Genomic DNA, 19,687 nt, shown 5'->3' with positions numbered 1-19,687 from the left:
CTTTATAAATTACTGAGTTTTGGGTATGTCTTTATTAGAAGTGTGAGAACAAACTAATACATTAAATTGGTACCGGCAGAGTGGCGTGCTGCTGTAAGGATACCGGAAAATGTGGAAGCAACTTTGGAACTGGGTAACAGGCAGAAGTTGGAATAGTTTGGAGGGCTCAGAAGAGGATAGAGAAATATGGGAAAGTTTGGAACTTCCTAGAGACTTGGAGGGCTCAGAAGACAGGAAGATGTGGGAAAGTTTGGAATTGCCTAGAGACTTGCTGAATGGCTTTGACCAAAATGCTGAGAGTGATGTGGACAATAAAGTCGAGGTTGACATGATCTCAGGTGGAGATTAGGAACTTATTGGGAACTGGGGCAAAGGTGACTCTTGGTATGGTTTAGAAAAGAGACTGGCAGCATTTTGTCCCTGCCCTAGAGATTTGTGGAACTTTGGACTTAGTAGAGATAATTTAGGGCATCTGGCAGAAGAAATTTCTAAGCAGCAAAGTGTTCAAGAGGTGACCTGGGTACTGTTAAAAATGTTCAGCTTTATGTATTCACAAGTATATCATTTGGAATTGAAACTTATCTTTAAAAGGGAATCAGAGCATAAAAGTTCACAAAAATTACAGCCTGATGATGCAATAGAAAAGAAAAATCCATTTTCTGAGGAGAAATTGAAGCTGACTACAGAAATTTGCATAAGTAAGGAGGAGCCAAATGTTAATAGCCAAGACAAAGGGAAAAATGTTCCAGGACATGTCAGAGGTCTTCACAGCAGCCCTTTCCATCACAAGCCAGGAAGTCTAGGAGGAAAAAGTGGTTTCCTGGGCTGGGCCCAGCACGTTGCTTCTTTGTGCATTCTTGGGACTTGGGGCCCTGCATCCTGGCTGTGGCTAAAAGGAACCAACGTAGAGCTTGGGTCATTGCTTCAGAGGGTGCAAGCCCCAAGCCTTGGTGGCTTACAAGGGTGTTGGGCCTGTAAGTGCACAGAAATCAAGAATTGAGGTTTGGGAATCTCTGCCCAGATTTCAGAGGATGCATGGAACTGCCTGGATGTCCAGGCAAAAATTTGCTGCAGGGGTGGAGCCCTCATGGAGACCTCTGTTAGGGCAGTGTGGAAGGGAAATGAGGGGTGGGAGCCTCCACACAGAGTCTCCACTGGAGCACTGCCTAATGGAGCTGTGAGAAGAGGGCCACCATCTTCCAGACCCCGGAATGGTAGATCCACTGACAGCTTGCACCGAGCACCTGGAAAAGCCACAGACACTCAATGCTAGCCCATGAAAGCAGCCAGGAGGGCAGCTGTACCCTGCAAAGCCACGGGGTGGAGCTGCCCAAGGCCATGGGAGCCCACCTTTTGCATCAGCATGACCTGGATTTGGAGCATGGAGTTAAAAAAATACTATTTTGGAACTTTGAGATTTAATGACTGTCCTATTGGATTTCGGACTTGCATGGGGCCTGCAGCCCCTTCATTTTGGCCAATTTCTCCCATTTGGAAGAGGTCTATTTACCCAATGCCTGTACCCCCATTATATCTAAGAAGTAACTAACTTGCTTTTGATTTTACAGGCTAATAGACAAAAGGGACTTGCCTTGTCTCAGATGAGACTTTGGACTTGAACTTTTGAGTTAATGCTGAAATGAGTTAAGACGTTGGGGGACTGTTGGAAGAGTGTGGTGGTGTTTTGAAATGTGGGGACATGAGATTTGGGAGAGACCAGGGGTGGAATGATGCGGTTTGGCTGTGTCCTCACCCAAATTTCATCTTGAATTGTAGTTTCCATAATCCCCACATATTGTGGGGGGGACCCGGTGGGAGGTAATTGAATCATGGGGGTAGTTACCCCCATGCTGCTGTTCTCAGGAGATCTGATGGTTTTCTAAGGGTCTTTTTCTCGGCACTTATCCTTCCTGCCACCATGTAAAGAAGGATGTGTTTGCTTCCTCTTCCACCATGATTGAAAGTTTTCTGAGGCCTGCCCAGCCATGCAGACCTGTGAGTCAATTAAATCTCTTTTCTTTACAAGTTACTCATTCTCGGATATGTCTTTATTAGCAGTGTGAGAACAGACTGATACAGACATTTATCACATAACTACAGGGATATAGTCAAAATAAAAAAAATGAAGCTGAGTTGGGATTCATTACTGGCACCTATTTTAGAAAGTTAAGTGAAGGATATTGCAAAGCAGTTGATTTAATTGGGGAATTATCCATAGATCTTTAATTTAGGTTTTTTTTTTCTTTTAACTTTCTGCTATTCATAGTCCCATTTACCATAGAAGTTGTTTGAATCATTGTATGAAAAAGCTGACAGTATTTCGACAAATTACTTACCATTTTTTATTTCAAGTGATACAGCTTAGAGCAGAAAAGAAAAAGTGAGGTGTGAATTTGTCCTAATGAAAAAGAGTCTTAGAAAAGAAAGTGAAAAGGCCAGCATTGTGACTCACGCCTGTAATTCCAGCAATTTGGGAGGCCAAGGTGGGAGGATCACTTGAGGCCAGTCTGGCAATTTGAGGCTGCAGTGAGCCATGATCACGCCACTGCACTGATGGAGGTACATTTGTTGAATGCAATAGTGGCTAGGTTTGGCAGTGCTCACTGCAAGGTTAGTTGAGAGGCACAGCTAGGCACTAATACTAACTAATGCCAGGGTGGAGCATAGTCAAATGAGCACACTTGCAGGGTTCTGAGGTATATGCCATTGGTTATTCTAATAGGCTATTAAACCTCTAATTATGATTCTGAAAACAACCAACCCACAAGATAAAAAAGCACTATATCTCACTGGGGAGTGGAGCTTTGATACAAAAATCCAGGTACACAGATAGTTAATTGACAGGTCTTAGATTACCAATTACAAACTTATGGTTTAGGAAAAGGACTGAAGTAGCCGTGGTGGTCCTGGTGTTATCTAATGTCCCTTGACAGATGAAAGATAAGGTTTTGGATTACAAGTGGTTAAAATTTTACCCCCTTTTCTCTTTTCATTTTATGCCCTTTCTTGGACAGAAGATATTCTTTATCACTGGGTCATCTTTCTGGACTTTTCCTAAGTTCTGCAGAATCTTTGTCCTGAAAAATAGGGAAATAGAAAGAAAGAGGTTAAATTGATCTACATAATAAAAAGCTGAGATGGGAGACAGAGAAAGAGGAGAAGTAGGTACCTTTGCAGCCTGAGTCTGAGAGAGAGGGTAGAATAGTAGTTTAAAGAATGTTGGAATGAAATAAATAATTTGGGGCATTGTCATGCCTGTAGGAGATACTGAAAATGAAAGGTAGAAGAATGTTTCAGGTGTTTGGAGATTAAAAGAGTATTTAGATGGGTTTGAACCTGCAGACTAGGAGATTGTCAGGGTCAAAATGTATAGAAATTAAAGAAGAGGGGAGTTAAATGAATAGTAAGTAGTGAAACAGATTATACCATCTGAATATGTGAAACTTTTGGAATTAGCTTAAACCAAGCAAACAAACATGGAATACTCAAAACAGAGAAAGGGTTAGGGTTAGGGTTAGAAAGAAAAGTAAAAATTAAACAAGGCAAGAAACATGCAAGTGTAGTTTTGAATTGTATATCTGTGCTTATCATCATGTAAAATTAGGATACTATGTTTAATTTCTGGGACCATCAATTTTCTCATTAGTTAAGTGGAATAATTGCAATAGCATATGAAAACAAGCACACCAGCACAGTGCCTGAAATATATCTGTTAAAATAAAAAGAAGAAAAAGAAAAAGCTGGAAGCCTGTCCATATGTAAGGATTTTGAGGTAATCCATCAAATATTCTTTCATAGGCTTGTAAACCTTTATTCTGGTTTGCCCAGAAGGAAAATGTCTTTTATAATCTGTACCTAATAAGTAATCATTAAGCACCCTAAGAGGTTTTAACATTGAGACATTTCTGAAATGATGTAGAGTAATTGTTTGCTAAAAAAAATAAAATAAAATAGTGATCTTCACTGCACTGCAGCACCCCTTTAAGTAAGCCACTGGCTTACTAAACCACCGAAAGAACAAGGTTTAGTGACTGCAGTTTGGCAACTACAAGACCAAATGCCTGATTCTATAAACAAATATTTTTCGCCGTATTTCTAGTTCATGTACCTATTTTACCTATATGTTCTATTCTAAATTAATTCGTGACTTTAAGTTTTAGAACTCTTAATTTCAGGAATCGTAGAAAAGATGATGTTGGACCATATTTTAGCAGATGAGAAAGGAATGGTAAGAACCCATTGGCAGAACTAACTTGCAGCTTGAATGTAAACTCCATAAGGTCAGAGTTTTTTTTTTTTTTTTTTTCTTGCTTTTCTCTCCTGATCTATTTTCAGGACCTCAAACAAGGCTTAGCCACAAATGGGTACTTGATAAATATTTGTTAAGAGAATTAATGAATAAATGGATTAATCATTAAATTACCATAGCTATTAACCAACTAGGTTGTCCAGTAGTTAATCCATATTTTTTTTAAATTTAGCTCTTTATAGAGCAGCATTATCATATAGAAGTACAATTTGAGCCATATATATAATTTTAAATTTTCTAGTAACAGTATTTTAAAAAGTAAAACTAGTAAGATGATTTTAATAATATATTTAATTTATATCAATATATCACAAATATTATAATTTCAACAAGTAATCGGTATAATATTTAGTTATGAGACATTTTACATTATTTTACAATATCACCTTTTAAATCCCTGTGTATTTTACATTTCCAATACATTCAGATGAACTGCATTTTAAGTACTCAGAATGTTATCAGCACATTCAACAGTAAACTTATAAAGCAGTCAAAATCTGTTTTGAAAGAGGTAAAATTAAAATAATATCTTAGATTTAAAATAAGACAAGTAATCTATAGGAAAAAGCCTTGAATTTGAGTTAGATAGAGCTAGTTTAGAATCCCATTTGGTAGTGTGACTTCGAGGAAGAGAATCTCAATAAGTCTGTTTTCTCACATGTAAAATAGAAGTAATCATCAGACCTTGCTGAACTGTTATCTTAGAAATAGTGTATGTGAAAGCCCTCCTACAGGATCCGACAGGTAGTAGGTGCTCAATAAAGATTATGAATGGTTGTCATTATTGTATTATAATTATTTAGTATATACTCTGTGCTTTTCGCTGTTTATGATTTTAAAAATGAGCTTTTATTTCCATTTTAAAGGCAAACAAGGAAGGCCCGAACCCCATTATTGGATTATATATCTGATATTAGCACCTGAATTCTTTTTTAGTTACTTCTAAGCATATATCACAGGAAAAAACTTAGGTATGTCTCAAAAGGTCCTCATTTTCCCAGTGCATCATTGACATGGGGCAGTCTCCACTACTGGGGAGCCCATGAGTTTTCTACTCTGATGGGACAATTCTCAGCTGGCATTTTGCCTCTATGACTGCTCTGATACCCTCATTTCAGAGAAAGAATTTTGGATTTAGTATTACAAAGACAGTACAAATATCCTACCTATATGAGAAAAAAATAGACGTTTTTGAACATATAGCCATCTAGAAATGTATCACCCACTAGTCATATTGAAAATTAAATTACTTATAAAGGTACTGTAGGAAACAGAAGACTGAGTGATAGTGAAAAAATAAGATACAAGAAATAATAAACAATGAGCTATGAAATTAAGTTCAATTGTTAGGCAGGGATTTAACAATAGAGATATTATTAAATAATAATTTAAAGCTAGAAAATTGAGAAATTAAAAGAAAATTGAGAAGAGGATAAAATAATTAAATGTCTGTTAATCTTGTTACAAATGAAAAAGGCTGTATGTTCACATTATTTTTTAATATTAATATGAATCTATATTTTCACGTTTGCTATAAATTTGAGTATAATCATTAGTAGAATATAAATAAAATTGAAATACCTAATGTAGGACAAGATAAAAAGCAAATAATATACGATGAACATAAGTAATAGTAAAGAAAAAAGAAACAAAATGTGCCCTGCATATGGCTAGCCAGTTATCCCAGCACCATTTATTGAATGGGGAATCCTTCCCCCCTTGCTCGTTTTTGTCAGATTTGTTGAAGGTCAGATAATTGTAGGTGTGTGGTCTTATTTCTGGGTTCTCTATTCTGTTCCATTGGTCTATATGTCTGTTTTAAGATGGATTAATGACAAATGTAAAACCCCAACCTATACAAATCCTGGAAGACAACCTAGGCAATACCATTAAGGATATAGACACAGGCAAAGATTTCATGATGAAGATGCCAAAAGCAATTGCAGCAATAGCAAAAATTGGCAAATGGGATCTAATTAAACTAAAAAGCTTCTGCACAACAGAAGAAACTGTCAACAGAGTAAATAGACAACCTACAGAATGGGAGAAAAATTTTGCAAACTATACATCTGACAAAGGTCTACTATCCAGCATCTATAAGGAACTGAAACAAATTTACAAGAAAAACAAACAACCTCATTAAAAAGTGGGCAAAGACATGAACAGACACTTCTCAAAAGAAGACATATTTATGGCCAGCAATCATGAAAAAAAGCTCAAATTCACCAATAATTAGAGAAATGCAAATCAAAACCACAGTGAGATACCATCTAACACCAGTCAGAATGGCTGTTATTAAAAAGTCAAAAAATAACAGATGCTGGTGAGGTAGTGGAGACAAAGGGATGCTTTTACACTGTTGGTGGGAGTGTAAATTAGTTCAGCCACTGTGGAAGACAGTGTGGTAATTCCTCAAAGACCTAAAGACAGAAATTCCATTTGACCCAGAAATCCCACTAACAGATATATACCCAAAGGAATATAAATTTTTCAATTATAAAGACACATGCACACGTATGTTCATTGCAGCAGTATTCACAATAGAAAAGACATGGAATCAACCTAAATGCCCATCAATAATAGACTGGACAAAGAAAATGTGTTACATATACACATGAAATACTATGCAGCCATAAAAACTAATGAGATCATGTCCTTTGCAGGGACATAGATGGAGCTGGAGGCCATTATCCGTAGCAAACTAACACAGGAACAGAAAACCAAATACCACATGTTCTCACTTATAACTGGGAGCTAAATGATGAGAACACATGGACACATAGAGGGGAACAACACACCCTGGGGACTTTTGGAAGGCAGAGAGTTGGAGGAGGGAGAGGATCAGGAAAAACAATTAATGAATACTAGACTTAATACCTGAGTGATGAAATAATTTGTGTATCAACCCCCATGACACAAGTTTGCCTATGTAACAAACCTGCACTTATACCCCTGAACTTAAATGTTAAAACAACCTCCCCCAAAACAAACAAACAAAAAACTGCAAACAACAGCAACAACAACAGCAATAAAAGAAACAAAATATGAAGACATTGAAAAATAAGATGGCTGTGCTAGAATCTAACCAAAATCTAGGCCTATCTTTTTGTGCTATTAGCTGTAGTCATGTGACTTTTAGCCATGAGGGCATAAGAAATAGTGGTATGTGTCATTTCCAGGACTGATCTCTGAAGTTCCCTCATGGCAACTCCTGGATACTTTTTGTTTCCTCAGACTGGGTGAAGATGACTATCATGAACTTGGACTTGATTCACTGAAGGTGGCCTCTATTCGTGTGAGTCCTTCAAATGATTGTATGGAGCAGCCTTCTGCTCCTTGCTACTCTGTACCACTCTAGACTATTACATAATGTCTTAGTTCATTTGTACTGCTATAACAAAATACCACAATTAGTTAATTTATAAATGCTAGAAACTTATTTTCTCACAGTTATGGAAGCTGGTAAGTCCAAGATCAAGGCACTGACCCTGGTGTCTGGGGAGGTCCGTTCTCTGCTCTTAAGATGGTGTCTTGTTGCTGCATCCTCCAGAAGGGAGGAATGCTCTATCCCCACATGGTGGAAGATGGAAGAGCAGAAAGGGGAAAACTCTCAAAAGGCTCTTTTATAAGGGATGAATCCTTTTTTAAGCGAAGAGCCCTCGTCACTTAATCACTTGCCCAAACATAAGTATTCCCAACTTGCCCACTGTCACTACAGTGAGGATTAAGTTTCAACATGAATTTTGGAGGGGACACCCATGCAAACCATTAGCACAAGATGCATAAACTTCTAGTATATTTACATCATCATATGTCTTTCGTCTCTATTTTATATACAGCTATGTTTAATTCACTAATATGGCTGAAATAAAACCAATGTAATAGTGATGGCAATAAATATGAATAGATTACATTCTTGAAATGAGCCAGATTTGGGAAAATATACTGTTGCTTAATGTGATTAAGTCAGGGGATCAGATCACATCTTGAAGGTATATTTATATGTGAGAGAGGCAAGTGGGTTTTCTCTGAAGGACATGTACACCTCCATGATTAATTATCTTGTAGCAGGAAAAAATATAGGGCTAGACTCATGCAGGCGAGAGCTTTTCCCTTTTTCTTCTTTTTTCTTTCCTTTTGAATTGGCATTGGATTGTATTTCCTGTGTATATCATCCATGCTTCTTAACTGCTTTCAAAGCAATCATGTCTTTGTGTTTTTGAATAGAATTTTGAAAATATCTCTAGATTTCTAGTGCTGTCCTTTTGTCTTCAGCTGAGTCAATCTTACCACTTATCCTTTGGATTCATTATTATTCTCTTTTATGGAATACCATTTTTAATCTCCAATAACTTTACTTTTCTTTCATAACAGCCTGCTCTTGTTTTACATATGTTCCTGAGGACACTAATTGTAATTATTTTAAAATGTATGTGTTTTCCTACCTGTATTCTCTTTTTTGAAAGTTAGTTTTGGTCTTGTTTTCATTCCAGTGTCTTTCTTTTATGCTGTTGTCTTAAGCGTTTCATGGAAAATCTTAGTCATCTGTTTGTAGTGCAAGGTTCTTGTAAGAGTGGTATATTTTTCTGGAATATGTTTTTATTCATCACCAGTGAATATTCTCTGCTTCCCTAGCAGAAAATTCAAATTCTGATAGAATTTTGAGCTTATGTGAAAGTACAGGATGGGAACATGTGATCAGCCTGTCTTTCTCTTTGAGTATGGGATAATAATTAGCTTTCTCAATTTGAGACACCCCTTAGCTCCAGGGGATACTTATGTTGGGAATGTCCAATAGCAGATTCACTATTAGTCCCCAAACAATTCTTGTGAGTTTAGCTGGATGGAGAACATCAGAGCCTGCAGCACTGAAAGTAGGAAATTGTTGCACCTGTTCTACCGATTGTTAATCAATTATCTCACTGACCATCCAGTTCTGGCTTCCATCCTCTGCTGCATCTGATTGGGATAATTCCAGGTTTCTGTTTTTAGTGGTCCTGTCTTTTATTATTTTTGTAGCATTTGCCCTTTCCTTTTATCTTTTTCTCCAGCTTCATTGAAGTATGATTGACAAATAAAAATTGTATACATTTAAGTTGTACAATGTGATTATTAGATATACATAATGTAAATATACATTGTGAAGTGTTCATCGCAAGCTAGTTATCATATCCATCATCTCACATAGTTACCCTTTGTGTGTGATGAGAACAGTCAAGGGCTATTCTCTTAGCAAATGCCAAGTATACAATATATTATTAACTATAGTCATTAAGCCTCCAGAATTTACTGGTCTTACAACTGAAAGTCTGTATCCTTTGACCAACAACTTCCCATTTCCCCCACTCATGTAGCCCTGATAACCACCATTCTACTCTATTTTTACAAGTTCACCTTTTTTAGATTCCACATATAAGTGCGGGCATACCTTGGAGATATTGTGGGTTCACTTCCAGACCACTGCAACAAAGCAAATATCACAATAAAGTGAGTTACACAAGTGTTTTAGTTTTCCCTTGCATGTAGAAGCTATATTTACACTATATTTTAGTTTATTAAGTTTGCAATAGCATTATGTCTAAAAAATGTGCATACCTTAATTTAAAAAACTTTATTGCTACAAAACGCTAATGAGCACCAGTGCCTTCAGTGAGTCATAATCTTTTTGCTGGTGGAGGGTGTTGCTTCAGTGTTGATGGCTGCTGATTGATCAGGGTGGTAGTTGCTGAGCTTTGGGGTGGCTGTGGTAAAATAAGGCAACTTAAAGTTTATTACCTCAATTGACTATTCCTTTTAAGAAATACTTATCTGTAGCCTGTAAAACTGTTTGATACCATTTCAAACAGTAGAACCTCTTTCAAAAATGGAGTCAATCCTCTCAAACTGCTGATTACCAATTAATTTTATGTAATATTCTAAGCCCATTATTGTCAACAATTTTCACAGCATCTTCTCCACGAGTAGTTTCCATCTCAAGAAACCACTTTCTTTTCTCATCCATAAGAAGTAACTCATCATCCATTAAAGTTTTATCATGAGATTGCATCAATTCTGTCATATCTTCAGTCTCTACTTCTAATTTAGGTCTAATTATAATTCTACTGCAGATGTGGTAGAAACAGAATGATAATGGGTTATTAACTAACTCATTAATAAGGGTTAGAATAACTTCTTCCAAACTCCTGTTAATGTTGCTATTTTGACCTCCCATGAATCACAAATGTTTTTAATGTAATTTAGCGTGGTGATTCCTTTTCAGAAGGTTTTCAATTTCCTCTCGCAGATCCATCAGAGGAATCACTACCTATGGCAGCTATAACCTTAATAAATGTTTTTCTGAAATAACACAACTTGAAAGTCAACATTACTCCTTGATCCATGAGCTACAGCAGAATGGATATTGAGTTAACACATATGAAAATAACATTAATCTTCATCAGAGCTATGGGGCGACTAGGTGCAATGTCAATGAGCAGTAATGTTCTGAGCAATATGCCTCAGCAGTGGGCTTAAAATATTCAGTAAACCATGCTATATACAAATGTTCTGTCATCCAGACTTTGTTGTTCCTTTTATAGAGCACATGCAGAGTAGATTTAGCATCATCCTTAAGGGCCCTGGAATTTTCAGAATGGTCAGTGTGCATTGGCTTCCATTTAAAGTCACCAGCTGCATCAGCCCCCAGCATGGCCTGACCTTTGAAGATTTGAAGCCAGGCATTGACTGCTCTTCTCTAGCTGAGTCCTAGATGGTATCTTCTTCCAATAGAAGGCTGTTTTATCTACATTGAAAATATGTTGTTTCTTTCATCAGTGATCTTAGGTAGATATTTCAGATAACTTGCTGCAGCTTCAACATTAGTACTTGCTGCTTCACCTTGCACTTTTATGTTGTAGAGATAGCTATTTTCCATAAATCTCATGAACCAACCTCTGCTAGCTTGAAACTTTTCTTCCACTGCTTCCTCACCTCTCTCAGGCTTCATAGAATTGAAGAGAGTTAGGGCCTTGCTCTCAATTAGGCTTTGGCTTAATACAGTGTTATGAATGGTTTGGTTTTCTATCCAGACCATTAAAACTTTCTCCAATATTATCAATAAGGTTGTTTTATATTCGTATTACTTATATGTTCACTGGAGTTTCTGTTAATTTCCTTTGAAAAATTTTTTTTTTTTTTACATTCACCACTTGGATGATTGTTACTCAGAAGAGGCCTAGCTTTTGGCCTATCTCAGCTTTTGACATGCCTTTCTCACTAAGCTTAATCATTTCTAGTTTTCTATTTAAAGGAAGGAACATACAACTCTTCCTTTAACTTGAATCACTCAGAGACCATTGTACGGCTATTAATTGGCCTAATTTCAATATTATTATGACTCAGGGAGGGAGGCCCAAGAACAGAGGGAGAGATGGAGGAACTGTTGGTCTGTGGAGAAGTCAGAACACACACAAGATGTATCAGCTACGTGCAGTGTGTTATATGGGCACTGTTAGTAGCTTCTCCAAAGAGTTACAATAGTAAAACCAAAGATCAGTGATCACAATCACTGTAACAGATATTATAATAATAATGAAAAAGTTTGACATATTGTGAGAATTACCAAAATGTGACACAGAGACGTGAAGTGAGCACATGCTGTTGGAAAATGGCACCCATAGACTTGTTCCATGTAGAGTTGCCACAAACTTTCAACTTGTAAAAAATTCAATATTTGTGAAGCACAATTGTGTGGAAAAACACAAACTGATTTTCCTCTGCTGTCGTACCACATCAATCAACACTGAAGATTTCTGTGACCCAGTGTGTAGGTTTTTTTCCTTATGCACCAAGCAATCAATTCTGCGGTAGACACCCGCTGAGTGTCCTGTAATTCAATTCAGTTCTGACACTACCTGGAGATAGTGTCTGATCCCACAACTTGAGCACTCCATCCCCAAGCCTGATCCCTACTCCCGATACCAATTGCAAGCCCCAGGTTGTTTGACCTGTGCTTCTGGCTGTCTATAAATTAGGGATCCCACAGCTCACTCCTTGGGTTTAATTTGTGAGAGTGACTCAGAGAACTCGGGGAAACATGCTTACCAATTTATTGTAAAGATACTACAAAGGATACAGAAGAAGGGATGCACAGGCATGTGGGAAGAGGTTCCCTCCAGGAACTGCAGATGTTCAGCTACCCAGAAGCTCTTCCGTATTTCATCCTCTTCAGCCTTTCCTGGAAACTTCATTGTATAGGCATGAAGCATGGCCAACTGTGTAGACATGTGACAAAACAAAAAGGGTATGATCTAATACTAATAGACTGAGTGGAGAAACCCATCAAAATCTGTCTATCCATATTTTTCTTGTCCTCTCTCTGCAGCATTGTTCCTCCAGGGTACAGGGCACGACTTCTTAAATTAGAGTCTTATGACCTACAAATCAGACTAGGTAGGTCAGAGAATTTCTTTATGGCCAGCTCCAAGAAAAAAAAGGTAGGGGAAGATGTCTGCTTTGGGGAGAAAAAGGAGCAAATGAAAGAAGGATAGGAGAAGGTCAGATAGAGAGAGAAAGAGAAAGAGAGAGATTGTATTTTCTGAGACCTTCTGAAACCTTAAGGGTCCCAACATTTTAACAAGAACTAAAGGAGTTATGGAGTTATGAGCCAGGAACTGTAGACAAGTATCAGAGCAATAAAGAGAAGTACACATAAAACAATGTCTGTCTGTGATATTATGTAGTATTTGTCTTTCTGTGTCTGACCTTTTTCACTTAGCATAATTGTCCTCTGTCCTCCATCATTTTATGTTGAGGATTATCATCTCTGTTGGAGTCAACCGTTGATAAAATTCCCCTCCCTTCATATTATCATGAAGTTCTAAACATTTCTCTTCTACTCATGGCATTGTTCTTTGTTATCCTATAGATTTATACTGTATATCTTCTATTATGTTAGTGTGATTGGGGAAAGATGAAAGATGAACATATATGATCATTTCGTCTTCCATTTTCACCATAGCATTCGGATATTTGTGGCATTCCATCAAATGTTAGTTTTTCAACTTCAAAATACTTATATCCTTTTCTCTCACAATTATATAGGAGGCAGTAAATGACACCTATGCCAGTATTATTTTTTAATCTTTGAAAAGAGTCATATTGATTTAACTATTGGACAAATACTGCTTGGGCTATGCTTACTTGTTTACTACTGAATTAACATAGGGTTGAAGGTGATTGACAGATATATTTCTGATTCTGAAGTCATATTTACTCAAATGATACCAACCTGAATTGCTTTCGAGATGCTCTTCTCATTAGGTTTCCTGAGATTGACTGTTGACATGAGGTCTAAAATTCTCTCAAGGTTTCTTCTCTTTTATTAAAGGTGAAGTTGGTAAATCGGGCATTTAAGAATAGCACATCAGGCTTCCACATTTTCCTAATTTTTTATTTTGTTTTAACCAATTTTAATAATTGGACATCATACTAGTGTGCTTTTATTCATGTAATTGCAATTTTCTCTATACTGATGAGAAAACTACTGGTTCTAGAAACTAAATATTTTTTCCTAATTCAACGGGGTAAATAATTAGCAAATCCAGAATTCAAAATCCAAATTTCTTGTTTCCTTTCCTATGTTATGCTGTGCTAAACAGGGTTTTTTTTTTTTTTTTCTTTTTCCCAAAGTGATTTGGTCAGCTACTAGCATCACTTCTGAGAATGTTTTTCTGGTCTGTGAGTTTCTAGGCCAAGTAGAGAATTCAATCTTTGATATTTAGAGATATATGCCTCATTGTAACATGGTAAGGACTGTGGATATATTCTTCCAAACATTAACTTTGTAAATTTCTGAATTGACCAGTAAATATAGCACACAACATGGTACCTCCTATAATAAAATCAACTATAAGAGTGGAGAGGGAAATAATTATCTACCATGTGAACTGATGACTTGCAGTCATAAATGTGAAAAATAGCTACAGATAGTTTCTGAAAATTTGATTGAAAATAAATTTCTGTGTGTACAGGTATGTGTGTGCATGATTTCAATGTAGGACAAATTCGTATGGTTGAATTATAACACTTGGGAATCCTGAGTTTGTGTTGCTTTTACATTGCCTGGCTTATATCACTGTGTTTCAACTTCCTATTGAATAGTAAAATGTTTATTGCAATATGCCATAGTAAAAACTTATTTACATTCTTAACATATGAGTTTACTTCACATTGTGACAGGAGAAAGAGAAGACATAAAGATGTATTATTTACCCATGCCACTGTTAACCAGAAAGCAAAATAAATGAAGAGGTGAAAAAAAAATCTCACGGAGTACAAGTAGATCATCTGATCTTTTTACTTAAGTAAAAATGATGGGTACCTGTTTCATAAATATGATTAAAATGGTTATATGGTAAAGTATGCATGACTATCCCTTCCAAGTAAGCATATGGATATCAAACAAAAAAGGGTCATTATAGGTAAATGAATTATCTGTAGTCAAACATATTATCTTCTCCCTGTTTCGTACATTGTCATAGCAACGATTGACTTCATATGGCCTGACTCAGCTACTCAGCAACCAAAGAGAAAAAAAATGTTCTGTTTCCTGTAATCTGCTGCTAGAGGTGATACCTTTAGATGGTGCAGTAATAAGAGATGATGCTTAAACCTACCGGATTTTCTTTCGTGATTGCAGCAAAATTAATAATTATCTACTGGATACAGGGCAGTTGTCATTTTGAGTTTTGGGTGGTAATATCTATAGGTGAGGAACAGAAGTGTTTCAAGAATGTTCAGTGATTATTGGTAAAAATGGAGACAGGACAACCTTTCAATAGTTATTTGTCCAAACATTTTTTGTGTGTATCTTAGAAATGAGCAAAGACTTACATAATATGAGATTTCTGAACAAATATTTTACGAATGCCTAAAACTCAATTCCACTTTTCTGTATCCTTCTATTTTACAACATTCTTCAGTCTTTCCTTATACTGAGCTAGTTATTTTTATGTGAAACGAATTTATAAATTTTTTTTTTGCTAAAATAAGAAGGGAAAAAAGTGCATTTATTTCCAACTGAGAGTGTTGAGGATCTGGTGTTGGTGTTCTCCTAAATATCATAGTAATGGAATAGCAAACATTTGCTGGCCATAGATTTATATACTTTTCTATGTGGACTGTGTGGAAGAGATATAATTTATGTTGCATAAAATCACAAGTAAGATTTTATTTTTGTATGGGCTTGTGCAGACTGAAAAAGAACAACAAATAAGCCGTTAAAGAATTAACTTAAAATGTCACTCAGTTCTAATTTCAGTTTCAGTTTTAGTTTCTAATTCTGAATAAAATGGGTTTAGATGTCTGGTTTTTCAAGTGAATTTTACTAAGTAGACCACACGGCCATTATCAGCAGAGCCTGAAGGTGGTCCCTTACCTAGGAAAAGATAAGGAAAAGCCATCTTTTTTGTTTTGTTTTGTTTTTTAATTTCTCATTTCACTATTATAGCTATATTTCTCATTTTATCTAGAAAATAACCACTTATGAATATGAATATCTTTTTCTGTAGGGAATACAACTGAGTAGAAACAGAAATCTGAGAGTAACATATGGATCACATCTATGTGATGTGTGCACCACTGGTAACTTGTCCTCTGCCCATGGTCGTCCTAATATGTATACAGAGGTACTGTACCTCTAAGTCCAGGTTTCACCTAACAATTTAACAGAGCAGTACTGGGAGCCACTTCTGAGATTTTCCTACAAAACCATTATATTTTATTTTCATTTAATTTAATTTAATAGAAAATAGCTAGGAAGGGGAGTTAAACACTTTAAAAATCTGAAATGTGGTCAACCCTTCCCTTCCCTCCACGCTACTGTCTTGATTATATTTTCAGTCTTTCACCTCATTCAGGTGATTTCATTTATCATTTAAAGATTATCTTAAAGACAAAGATTTAGCCACTTCACTGTTTTCTGTTTCAGTTGTGTCATCTCTCAGTTCTGCATTTCAAGAATACTGAATCAGATTTGTAGAACATCAAATGCTTGGAGCTCTTTGGAAAAATGACCCTATGTTAATACAAAGTGTTGCTTTGTATTAACTTTCAAAAAATGACTCAGTCCCTATGAGTCATAGTTTCTCCTCTATAAATTTGAAATGTTGGAAGTCACAGTATTGATCTTGGCTTAAGTACTGGTCCTGAATTTATCAAACTCGTTGTAAAATGAGTTAAAAGTGAGGCTGAGCGCAGGGCCAAAACAAGGCTGAGACAAAACATTCTTCCTTTAACTTGTCTGTGTTTCCCAGAGAATGTGTTCTCATTATTTTGTCTGCTGTTTTGTACCTTTGGACATTCCACCAATGATGAAATTCAGACAGGTAATTGCAACATTCCTCATATCATCTTCTAAAGATTAAATGTCTCCTCGCTTGTGTTTTTTTCATTTTATTTGGCATTATATTTTATTGCATTTAGATAATCAGCAGAACTTGGTGCCTGTCTCTTTATTTATGAAATGGGGAAAGAGTATCTCCTTTATGTTGCTATTGTTGTGTTAAATATAATAGCATATATTTAAAACGTGGAAAGGCATGAATGGTGAATAGTCAATAAGTGCTAGTTTCCTCCCTGTTCTCCAGCCCCTAGATATGGGAAATATTTCTTTGCAGTAAGTTGATCTGTGCTTACTGCATTAGTTAACAATTGTTATGTTACAAAGCATTCCAAACTCCTTAAATAATCAACATTTTAAACATTTCTCGTGAAGATAGAGCCATGTTGCTCTGCTAATCTTGGCTAGGTTTGGCTCATCTCACAGAGGCCTGATCATGTCATGAATAATTATCCAGCTAAGGGAGACTAGGCTTAGAGTGGTTTTTAATACCTCCTATCCCTTCAGCAGCCCAATCCCTTCAGTGGGGTATCTAAGAGCAAACAGTCTCAACTGTGGAAGATGACAAGGAAAAATGAGCATATACTTTTCAAGGTTGGATATTGCTAATATCTCAGTGGTTAAAGTAAGTCACATGACTGAACCCAAAATCAGAGCATGGAGGGACTGTATAATTTCAGGAAAAAAAGCATGGATAATTAGGACCATTGGTACAATCGACTTATTACCTCTACAAAGTTTCTTGCAGACCCTTGTAATTAGTCAAGGTTTAGTCAGAGAAGCAGAATACCCACAGATCGTCAAGTGGTATTGAATGATTTACTTTAAGAGTTAAACCTTATGCAATTGCGGGACTGACCTATTAGAGCAGGCTGTGTACCCTCTGTCTTGTGTTGATTCTGAAGCTGTTTTGGTCATCCAGAGTGCTACTCTAAAGAAAACCAGGATGTGTAAAGTCAATAACTAGAGCTCATGACAACAACTGGGACCTATGTCTGTCTCTCACCATCTCTAACCTTGGTGCAGTGACTGGTTACCTGGAGGGAAAGGTTATGTCCTTCACTGTAAGTTACACATATCCTTAACCCAATAATAAAATAAACTGAAGGGGAGGATTTAGGTGGGAGCTTCAGGAAATACTGCCCTAGTTCATTGCTGAGCTGCTACACTGCCTGATGCTCTGTATCAAGCTTTAAAGTATAAAAATGTATGACTATTTCTTCACTTCTGTCTTCTAAATTGCATGCAAATGTCTCCTGTGGCGAAAACGAATCTAGAGCTGTACAGGGAGGAGAATTCTGAGAAATGTGTTTTAAGCTTGGTCTCCTCTGCTGTTTTGTTAAAATCTCTTTTTGTCTCATATCACTTTATACTGATTATGCTGAACTGGTGTTTTTAAAGGGTCTCACATTCAACTTCTCTCCCTAAAAGAGTTAAGATTCCTAGCTATTCAACTCAGTATGGCAGAAGGGATGTAAAAAAAAAATCCAGCATCTCAATATTTGGCATTTTTTAGCTAATTTCCCATCTCATAATTTGTGATAAAATACCTCTGTGATCTCCACTTTGCTTCTACATAAGAAAAAGTTTATATCATGCTTTGCCATCCTCCATAATAAAAGATGCTTTCATAAATGCAAAGAGAATGAAAATTTAATTTGTAAAATAATGACTGTAACTGTAAGTAACCAAGGGGACAGATAAACCAACCAAGTATATTAGGAATCTGTTATCATTTAAGAGAGGAAATTACTGCAATGCCTGAATAATTGTTAGTGAATTAATACAAAATTTTAGTGAACCTCAATTGACTTCAGTGTAAAGTCCCACAATTGGATATGTAGAGCTAATTATCAAAGGGGAAATCATAGACTTTCTACCTTAAAGCAACCAATTATCTAATGGTATTTATTACTGTTTCTTTGTTTCTTATTAAATATTTTACTATAGAAATAACCATGACTAGCCAGTTCAGAAAAAAAGATCAGACCTCTATATGTGTGTGTGTGTGTGTGTGTGTGTGTGTGTGTGTGTGTATATATTTGTATGATCTCTATCTATACTGCAATGAAAATTTTTGGCTTGAGAAAGAGAAATTCCTACTGTTAATTGGTACAGGGAAATCAAAATCATGATATGAGCAAATAATACGGAGAAAAAAGTGCAAATAGAATTGTTAATGAAGGTGAGATTTAAGAAAAGTTAATTTTAAAGGTAATATCTTATTTATGGATAGTTGCTATAGGGGTAGTACAGAAAGAAAGAACTTGATTTCTTCTTATTTCTTTTCATCACGATACGTGCTACATGATGATATAGCAGGATAGAATATGGATGGCTATTTTGTTGCTGTTTATCATTTCCAATTGTGGTAAAAACTCATTAAATTTAGTTAACTACCTTGACCATTTTTAAGTGTGTAATTCAGTGGTGTTAACTGTATTCACTGTGTCGTACAATAGATGTCTAGACTTTTTTATCTTGCAAAACTGAAAGTCTAAATGTCTTGAACACTTCCCCATTTCCCCCTCCCTTCAGCCTCTAGCAACTATCTTTCTTTCATTTTCTATGACTTTAACTACTTTAGATAGTTCATATGAGTAGAATCAAACAGTATTTGTCTTTTTCTGATGGCTTATTTCACCTAGCATAATGTCCTCTAGATTCATCCATGTTGTAGCATGTAATAGAATTTCCCATTTCTAAGGCTGAATAATATTCAGTGGGATATATACCACACTTTCTTTATCTATTCATCCATTGATGAATGTTTGAGTTGCTTCCACTTCTTGGCTATTGTAAATAATGCTGAAATGACCATGGATGTGCACGTATCGCTTTGAGATCCTGCTTTTATTTTTTTGGATATATAACAAGAAGTGGGATTGATGAGTCATTTGGTAATTCTATTTCTAACAATTTTTAAGGAAAACTTCATAGTATTTTCTATGTGGCTTAATTATTTTACATTTTCACCAACAGTGCACAAATGTTCTAAT

General features: G+C 36.2%; 1 long non-coding RNA gene across 4 annotated transcripts in view; it reads left to right on the top strand.

Moving 5' to 3' along the window:
* Positions 1-19,687, top strand: part of LOC105369165 (uncharacterized) — a 486,292-nt gene that overhangs the window by 257,889 nt on the left and 208,716 nt on the right. Inside the window, exon 1 of one of the 4 annotated variants that reach the window (NR_187749.1) lies at positions 16,578-16,674. The exons of the other annotated variants lie outside the window; for them this stretch is intronic. This is a non-coding gene — a long non-coding RNA (uncharacterized LOC105369165). Of the gene's footprint in view, positions 1-16,577; positions 16,675-19,687 lie in introns of those variants that run through there. 4 annotated transcript variants of the gene reach the window in all.

This window comes from Homo sapiens, chromosome 2, assembly GCF_000001405.40.
Source record: "Homo sapiens chromosome 2, GRCh38.p14 Primary Assembly".
NCBI classification, from domain to species: Eukaryota; Metazoa; Chordata; class Mammalia; order Primates; family Hominidae; genus Homo; species Homo sapiens.
The sequence above is the reverse complement of the archived record's forward strand: the minus strand, read 5'-3'. Positions and strand labels throughout refer to the sequence as shown.